Here is a 10,200-nt window from a genome sequence, read left to right as displayed (position 1 = left end):
CTCTTTGAATCATACCTGACCACATGCTAATGAGAGAATTCTTAACCTCTAGAGAGCTTCAGAATAGAGCTGATCACCAGGCGACTTTCAGCCCCATCCCCTAACCCCTAACTGTGGAGAGGGGAAGAGGGTCTGGAGATTGAGTTCAATCACCAATGGCCAATCACACCTACATAATGAAATTTCAGTAAAATCTCTTGAACAACAACGTTTAGGGATGTTCTGAGTTTGTGAACATATTGATGTGCTGGGTGGGTGGATGCCCAGAGAGGGCATGGGCTTTCTGTCCACCTTCCACTCCCTTGCTAGCTCTATGCATCTCTTCCATTTGGCTGTTTCTGAATCGTATTCTTTATAATAAAACTGCAGTGGTAAGTATAGTGCTTTCCTGTGTCCTGTGAGTCTTTCTAGCGAATTATCAAACCTGGTGGAGGGTGGGGAGTGATATGGTTTGGCTGTGTCCCCACCCAAATCTCATCTTGAATTGCCATGTGTTGTGGGAGGAACGTGGTGGGAGGTAATTGAATCAGGGGCTCAGTTCTTTTCCATGCTGTTCTTTATCAGCATGATATGTCTTTATCAGCAGCGTGGAAATGAACTAATACAGGGAGGGTCATGGGAATCCCCAAATTTGTAGTTGATTGAGCAGAGGTTCAGTTAGCTTGGAGCCCCATATCCGGCTAACATGTGAAGTGGAGGCATTGTTATGCAACTGAACCCATAACTTGTGGGGTCTGCACTGACTCCAGGTAATTGGTGTCAGAGTTGAATTGAATTATTGGACACCCAGTTGGTATCAAAGAATTGGAGAATTGGTGGTCCTTGGAAAATGACAGATTTGCTGTCAGAAAAACAATGCTGTGCTTCATTGGAGCACTGCTCCTGTGTGCCTAGAGATCACTTTGCTCTTCTGCACCAAAGAGAAGCACAGGTGGAATCTGTGAGGTTTCAAAGTCCAAGTGCAAAGGCTTCTACAAAGCCATTTCTACTCAGTGTTGGTCAACTTGCTGGGCTGGGCCTGGAGAATGTGAGCACCAGTCTCTTTTGCTCTTATGAAGTCCAAACTAATCTTGAATTTGTCATCCCCTGGAGGTTGGCCTGGGAAATGAGATGGGGTGGAGGCTCCATTTTGCAAAGACCCAACACCACCTAAGTTCTAATCACTTCCCTCTGACTCTCCTCTATCCTGGGGAAAAGTTGCCAGTCTCTGGGCCAGAATAGCCTTGCTCTGATTCAGTGAGTATCTTCTCAAATCACTATTCATGACAGAAGTTATATTCTATGCCTACTGAAAACTGGAATTTTGGAACTCAAGAGCTAGGATAAGGTTTTTGTTAGTTATATATTGGATTCTGCAATTCATCTATCTTCTGCATCATTACATGCAGAATACTGAGCTGATTGAATGGGTAAGAGCCAAAGGAGAACAAGTAATGCTGGGAACAAAACACACAATGAGTAATTTTCCAAAATATTAACTCAGCACACACTTTGACCATTTGTATAAATGCTTATGGAATAGTATTTGATGTCAGTTTTCCACTAGACTGTAAATACCATGAGGACAGGGATTATACCTTGCTTGTTCATTATTGTACAAAAAGTACCTAGAACAGTATCTGCATCCAAAAGAAAATCAATAAAGATTTGCTGAAGTCATTAATGAATTTAAACTCCTTAGTTTGACATTCAATATCTAAGTGATAACTCCCTGCTCTCATAAGCTAATTTTATTCTTGTAGTCACCAACTTTCTATATCACCTGAATTAATACAGTTATCAGCTTCTATCTGTCACTTATTCAAGACCAGATCATTTATTTGAATATATTGTTTTCTTTGCTAAAAATGTCCTTTCTCCACTATAATAAAACATCTTCCCCTCTTTCAAACTATGCCTTAAAACTGATCCATAAACAACCTCATGATTGACCTCACTTGTCTGTACACTCAGTTTCATTCATTCATCCCTTTAAAAATATATATTGAGTAGTCTGTATTGGACACCATTCTAGGCACTGGGGATAAAATGTAAATGAAAAGCTCTCCGTCCAAATAAATAAAACATGAATGAGGTATTTTTAAATAGTGATAAAGGCTATTAAAATACAAACAGGCCGGGCGCAACAGCTCACACCTGTAATCCCAGCACTTTGGGAGGCCGAGGTGGGTGGACCACTTGAGGTCAGGAGTTCGAGACCAGCCTGGCCAACATGGCAAAACCCATCTCTACTAAAAATACAAAAATTAGCCGAGCATGGTGGCAGGTGCCTGTAATCCCAGCTGCTCGGGGGGGCTGAGGCAGGAGAATTGCTCGAACCCAGGAGGTGGAGGTTGCAGTGAGCTGAGATTGTGGCATTGCACTCCAGGCTGGGTGACAGAGCGAGACCCAGTCTCAAAGGAAAAACAAACAAAAAACATGGGACAGTGTGTGAGAGAAAGTGATCAGGGGACAACAGAACAACATTAGATAGTGATTCAGGAAAGTCCTAGGCTGGGTGCCGTGGCTCACGCCTGTAATCCCAGCACTTTGGGAGGCTGAGTTGGGCGGATCACCTGAGGTCAGGAGTTCAAGACCAGCCTGGACAACATGGTGAAACCCTCTTTTCTAAAAATACAAAAATTAGCCAGGAATGGTGGGACACACCTGTAATCCCAGATACTTGGTAGGCTGAGGCAGGAGAATCCTTGAACCCAGGAGGCAGAGGTTGCAGTGAGCCGAGATGGTGCCACTGCACTCCAGTCTGGGTGACAGAGTGAGACCTTGTCTCGAAAAAAAAAAAAAAAAAAAAAGCAGTGATTCAGAAAAGTCCTGTCTGAGCATGTGATGTCTGAGCCAAGGTCTGAATGAAGGGAAGATGTGAGGATGGAGCATTTCTGCTACCATTTTTGTCAGGAGAGTGAACAGGTGCAGAGGGCCTGATGCAAGCATGGGTTGGGGTTCCTGGAAAAGCATAAATGAAGCCTGTGACTCAAGCTGGAGAACTAAGGAGGAGTGTGGTAAGAGAGGAGAGCAGAGAGGCAAAGGTGCCAGGTCAGGCTGGGCCCTGTGGGCAAGGAACAGGAGTATGCATTTTGAACATAAGGGACACCTGGAAGGCTCTGAAACTGGGCCATGTCATGGTCTGATTATCTTTCAGAAATGTATCTAGCCACTGGGTTAGGGATAGACCAAAAAAGTGAAAGCAAAAAGACTAGAATTTAATTGCAGTAACATGAAATGATAGCTCAGCATGAACTAGGATGGTAGTGAAAATGGAGAGAAGTGGACAGATTAGAGACCTATGCTTGAGGTCAAGCCAGTAGGGCTTGCTGATGGACTGGCTGGGCACGGGAATGAAGACTAGGGTAAATGGGGAAACAGGAGAATCAAATTTGAACTTGACTTCTAGATCTGGGTTGGTGGTGCCATATGCTGAGATGTGGGACCAGGAAAGGAAAGATTAAGGTGGAGGTAACGGGCAGGAGTCCAATGTTCTATTTAATTCACCTCCAACATGCCTATTAGACATCTGGGTGCAGATGTTGAGTATGTGTTGGGATATATAAGCCTGGATCCCAGAGGAAAGGCAGAACAGGTGGTGGTGAAAAGAGCAGACTCTGGACTCAACCTGGCTCCCACCTATGTAGGCTTGAACAATTTACTTAACCTCTTTGTGCCTCAGTTGCTTCATCTATGAATTGGGGATAAAAACAGTACTCACCCTGTAAATTTCTTGTGAGGATTAAATGAGTTAATACATATAAAGACCTTAAGACAGGGTCTGGTACATAGGGAGTGTCCAATAAGTGTTAACTACTATCATCAATAGGAGGCTGGGATTTGGACACAGCTAAGGGTACAGCTGAGGGCTGGAACACAAATTTGGGAGTCATTAGTGGAATTTTAAAACCATGGGAGTGGACGATATCCCCTCAGGAGACAGTGTGTTTACAGAAGGCGAAAGGGCCCTGAGCCAAGCCTTGGGTCACTCCAACATTTACAGCTAAGACAAAGTAGCCCTCAAATGAGAGTGAGAAAGAACAGCTAATGAGATAGAAGAAAAACTGGGAAGGCATGCAGTCACCGAAACTGGCAGGTTAAACAGTATTCTCCCCAGAATTCATGCCCATCTGGAATTTCAGAATGTAACCCTATTTGAAAATAGGGTCTTTACAGACCTGATTAGTTAGATCTAATAAGTTCAAATGAGGTCATACTGATTACAGTGGGTCCTGAATCCAATGACTGGTGTCCTTACAAAAAGGCCATGTGATGACAGAGGCAGAGATTGGAGTGAGGCAGCTACAAGCCAAGGAACACCAAGGATTGGCAGGAGTGACCAGAAGCTAGGAATAGTCAAGAAAGATTCTTTCCTAAAGACTTCAGAGGGAACAAGGCCATGCTGACACCTTGATTTTGAACTTCTAGCCTCCAAAACTGTAAGGGAATAAATTTCTTTTATCTTAAGCCATTCAATTTGTAGTCATTGGTTACAGCAGCCTTAGGCATCTAATGCAAAAATCAGGAGGAGAAAATGTTTTTAAAAGGGGGAGATAATTGGCTAGGTGTGGTGGTTTATACCTGTAATCCCAGCACTTTGGGAGGCTGAGGCAGGTGGATCACGTGAGGTCAGGAGTTTGAGACCAGCCTGGTCAACATGGTGAAACCCCATCTCTACTGAAAATACAAAAATTAGCCAGGCGTGGTGGTGCATGCCTGTAATCCTAGCTACTCGGGAGGCTGAGGCATGAGAATCGCTTGAACCCGGGAGGTGGAGGTTGCAGTGAGCCAAGATTGTGCCACTACACTACAGCCTGGGCCACAAGAGCAAAACTTCATCTCAAACAAAACAAACCAACAAACAAAAAGAGGTGGGGAGATGGTCAACTCTTTGAAATGGCTGGTGACAGGTAGAATAAGATCAGTACTGACAAGGGACCACTGGATTTGGTGAGGAAGTCTTTCATGATCTTGCTAGAAAACTCTCAGTGAAATATTTGGGGTTAAATTCTGATTGGAATGGATTAAGGGGAGAATAAAAGGTAGGAAGTTGAGGCAGTTGCGATAGACAACTTTTCAGGATATTTTTTGTAGTGAAGTGGAGGTGAAGGTTGTGAGGCACAAAATTCAAGGGGGGGATTTTTTTTTTTTTTTTTAAGAGACAGGGTCTCACTCTGTCACCCAGGCAGGAATGTAGTGGCACAATCATAGCTCACTGCAGCCTTGAACTCCTGGGCTCAATCAGTCCTCCTGCCTCAGCCTTCTCAATAGCTGGCACTAAAGGTGTGTGCCACCATGCTTAGCTAATTTTAAAAAAATTTTTAGAGATGGGACCTTACAAGGTTGCCCAGACCAGTCTCAAACTGTTGGCCTCACACGGTCTTCCTGCCTTGGTCTCCCAAAGTGTTGGGATTGCAGGTGCAAGCCACCGTGTTTGGACACATTTTTTAAACAACCGCCATTCTAATCATGTTTCTATGCTAGTGGAAATGACCCAGTAGAGAGGGGACTTGATGGTATGAGAAAGAGGGATTTATTTCAGATTCTAAATGCTGGAAAAAAACAAGAGGCTGAGATTCAGATTGCTAGTGGAGAATCTGATCTTTTGTTGAAGCCAGGGAACCTCTACCACGGTACAAGAAAGAAGGCCTAAAATACCGCTACGTTCTGGTCATTTCATGGTGGATAGACAAGGGATTTGATGGATCACTTTGATTTTCTCAGCTACTCACTCAGCTGAAAATAGTGGAAGAGAGAGGATGGGTGGTGTGGAAGGTTTGAGAAGACAGCAGAGCATGCCCCTCTGGGAGTGGGAAACAAATGTACCAGGACAATGCAGTGGGATTGTGGAGTGGGCCTGAAGGCTCAGATTTGAGATTTGTGATTGGTTGTGTGATTTATCCAGCAATATCAGCCACTCAGGTGCAGGTACAGAGCAGACAGAGAGCCAAGAATCCTTGTAAGTGGCACATTTAAATGACACACCATAGAACTTATGGTGGGTGAAGAGAGATGGCAGGACATAAGGAGAAGATGTAAAGAGCTGGTAGGGTCAGTGGATTGGAAGCTTGATGCTGAGAACACTTGAGTAAAGACACTATGAAGAAAGCACCAGAACCTTAATAGGAGTGGTCAGCAGGAAAGTTTATTGAAAATAAGGTTTTTGCAGCCAGGTGCAGTGCCTCACACCTGTAATCCCACCAGTTTGAGAGGCCTAGTAGGCAGGTGGATCACCTGAGGTCAGGAGTTTGAGACCAGCCTGGCCAACATGGTGAAACCCCATCTCTACTAAAAATATAGAAATTAGCTGAGCACGGTGGCGGGTACCTGTAATCCTAGCTACTCAGGAGGCTGAGACAGGAGAATTGTTTGAGCCTGGGAGGTGGAGGTTGCAGTAAGCCGAGATTGTGCCTGAACTCCAGCCTAGGTGACAAAGCGAGACTGTCTTGAAAAAAAAAAGGAAACAAATAAAATAAGTTTTTTGGAAGTTGATGACAAATTAGCTGAAGACATACTATAGACAATCTCCTAAGTGGAAGAGAGAAGGAGCGAGGGATTCAAAAAGAAAGAAACTGTGGCTCATGCCAGAAAGAGTTTATAATCAATTAAGGGATAAAATATGTATCATGCAGCTTTATAACATGGCAGCATACGTAGGTCCATCTATCTAACTGGGTCATAACAGGCTTGAAGGCAGAAATTATGGTCTGGTTCATTTACATCACACTTAGCACCTGCAGGAATTGTGTGTTCTAATTCACTTATATGGCACCTAGCATCTAACAGATGCTATGAATATGTGCTCAGTAAATACTGACTGATAGTATCTTTAGTATCTTTGAATAGTGAAGGTATAAGCATGATAAGCCAAAAATAATAATAATAACAATTATGATAGTGCTTATCCTGGCTTGGGCTGCTATAACAACATATCTTAGATAAGGTAATTTATAAACAATATAAATATATTGCTCACAGTTCTAGATGTTGGCAAGTCTAAGATCAAGGCAGCAACGGTTGTCTGGTGACAGCCTGTTCCTGGTGATAGTGCTTTCTACGTGTCCTCACATGGCAGAAGGGGCGAACAAGCTCCCTCAAGCCTCTAATTCCATTTATGAGAACAGAGCCCTCATGACCTAATCACCTCCCAGAAACCCCATCTCTTAATACTATTGCAGTGAATAATAGATTTTAACATATGAATTTTGGGGGAACATAAACGTTCAGACCATAGCAATGCTGCTTTCCTTGTGCAAGACATTGTTCTAAGTACTTTATATGTATAATGACACATCTGACCACAAAATCCTGTGAGGTAGGTGTTATTAAATAGGAAATTAGGCAAAGAAAAGTTGAGTACCTCGGCCAAGGTCACACAGCTGGTAAGAGGCAGAGCCAGGCTTTGAACCCAGTTAGAGTAACTCTAGTCTGCACTCTCCTAGCCGCCACCTCCATTTCCCATTTAGAAAGAGTAATTAATTAGCCACACTCTACTCAGAAGTCTATGACCCAAAGCAAACGTTCTTATTTTGTGAAACAATGTGGAGACATTGTATTAGTCTGTTCTCATGCTGCTAGTAAAGACATACCTGAGACTGGGTAATTTATAAAGAAAAACAGGTTTAATGGACTCACAGTTCCACATGGCTGGGGGAGCCTCACAATCATGGCGGAAGGTGAAGAAGGAGCAAAGGCGTGTCCTACATCGCAGCAGGCAAGAGTGGGTGTACAGGGGAACTGCCCTTTATAAAACCATCAGATCTCGTGAGACTTATTCACTATCACGAGAACAGCATGGGAAAAACCTGCCCCCATGATTCAATTACCTCCCAGGTGGGAATTATGGGAGCCACAATTCAAGATGAGATTTGGATGGGGACACAGCCAAACCATATCAGACATCAAAGAAAACTCACAGGGGCCTGGCGCGGTGGCCCACGCCTGTAATCCCAACACTTTGGGAGGCCGAGGTGGGTGGATCACCTGAGGTCAGGAGTTCAAGACCAGCCTGGCCAACATGGTGAAACCCCATCTCTACTAAAAATACAAAAATTAGCTGGGAGTGGTGGCGCATGACTGTAGTTCCAGCTACTCAGGAGGCTGAGGCAGAATCGCTTGAACCCAGGAGGCAGAGGTTGCAGTGAGCCGAGATCATGGCACTCCACTCCAGCATGGGCAACAAAGTGAGCCTTTGTCTCAAAAAACAAAAACAAAAACAAAAACAAAGATAACTCACAGGGAAGATTCCTGAAGTGTTATTGTCTTTTGTTTATATAGTCATTTCAGGTAAAATAATCGTTCATTCATTACTAAGGAGACACCAGTGGGGCTTGAGTTCTACACTCTGTGAACAAACTCATCATCTATCCTGGCATTATCAGTGGGACAGGAAGCAGGTGCAGCATAATGGGGGATATACACATAGAACCCTGACAAGTCTGGGTTGTATCTGAGTTCTGCTGCTGCTAGCTGCGTGACTCTGGACAAGTTACTTGACCTCTCTATGCCTCAGTTCTCTCATTTTTAGAATGGCAATAATTATACTATCTACTTCATAGGTTTTTCATGATAATTAAATGTGATAATTCATGTAAACTACCTAGTACAGGACCTAAAACATAGTAAATGCCCTAAATGTTACTCTTCTAAGTCAACTCCTCAGCATTTAACTGATTTCTGTGTTAAAGTCCAAACTCCTTCGCATGGCATGAAAAGTCCCTCCTTAACTCCTGGACTGGCCCCAGCTTACCTCATCTTTCCCCCCATTCCCTCTGTAAATCTGAGATCCAATCATAATTGTTTTGCATATCCTTTCTTATATGAACTTTACACTCTGGAAGTAACTCGGAAGATTTGTGATGCAATCAAAATGCAATCTGATTTTATCACTCACTATCCCTTTAAGTATTCAGAAGGAGTAATTTTTTTCTGCCTTCCAGTGGAAACTTGGACAGATATCAAGAATTCTTAATTAGTGGGCACTCCTACTCACTTTAAGTAAAAAATCAGTCTGGCTTTGGTAATTAGAAATGTGTCAAGATATTAATTAAATGCCTCAATCTCCATCCAAAAAGTGAGAGTTCTCTGCACTTGTGAGGGCCTGTGGTCACCTTATGCTCTCTCTCCCCCACTTAAATCCTTCCCAGGCACCAGCAGCTGCATCAGACCCCACCTGGGCAGAAGCCAGCTAAGGCAGTGCAGGTTGCTGGTGGTCTTCAGGTTGTCTGCATCTGGCAGGTGCCTAAACTTGATTCTTTCACTTCTGGGTGCACGTCTTTTTTTTTTTTTTTTTAATATATAGCAGTTTATTAAAAAGAATATATGGATACGCAGCGGTAAGTGACATAATTGATAAAAGAGGACCCACAATATCACTGATTCTCCTATTACTCCATGAAACTACTCCATGCAGTGATTTACAAGGGACCCTGGTTTGCAGGGTGCACAAGTTGCTTCACATTATAGAATATATAACACATAGGAGTTGTAATTTCATATAATCTGAACAATTGGCACCACTGTTACTGGTATCTTAACTGGTAGAAGCTAGCTGGCTTTTTATAACTGATCAACTATTGTGAGAAGCTGTTGACTCTCCATGGGTTGTTTGAAGATTTTTTTTTCTTTTTTTGAGACTGGGTCTGGCTTTTTTGTGCAGGCTGGAATGCAGTGGCGTGATCTCGGCTCACTGCAACCTCCGCCTCCTGGGCTGAAGCCATCGTCCCACCTCAGACTCCTGAATAGTTGGGAGGGACTACAGGTGCATGCCACCATGTCTGGCTAATATTTTTATTTTTTTTTAGTAGAGATGGGTTTTCGCCATGTTGGTCAGGCTGGTCTCAAACTCCTGACCTCAGGTGATCCACCCACCTTGGCCTCCCAAAGTACTGGGATTACAGGCGTGAGCCACCATGCCCGGCCACGCCCAGCTAATTTTTGTATTTTCAGTAGACACAGGGTTTCACCATGGTGGTCAGGCTGGTCTTGAACTCCTGACCTCAGGTGATCCACCCACCTTGGCCTCCCAAAGTGCTGGGATTATAGGTGTGAGTCAGCACCCGTTCAGCTGACTCCTATGCATTTTTCAACACTCAGAATATCTCTCCCCATCCCCTCAAGAACCCACAAATGGGCTAATCCCACCCACTTCACACTATTTGCATTTTCATGGTAACATTTTCTCACCTCTATCACAACTAACCCACACCACTTTGTATA

This window comes from Homo sapiens, chromosome 5 (genome assembly GCF_000001405.40).
Source record: "Homo sapiens chromosome 5, GRCh38.p14 Primary Assembly".
Classification (NCBI taxonomy): Eukaryota; Metazoa; Chordata; class Mammalia; order Primates; family Hominidae; genus Homo; species Homo sapiens.
Note: the sequence above shows the minus strand (reverse complement) of the source record.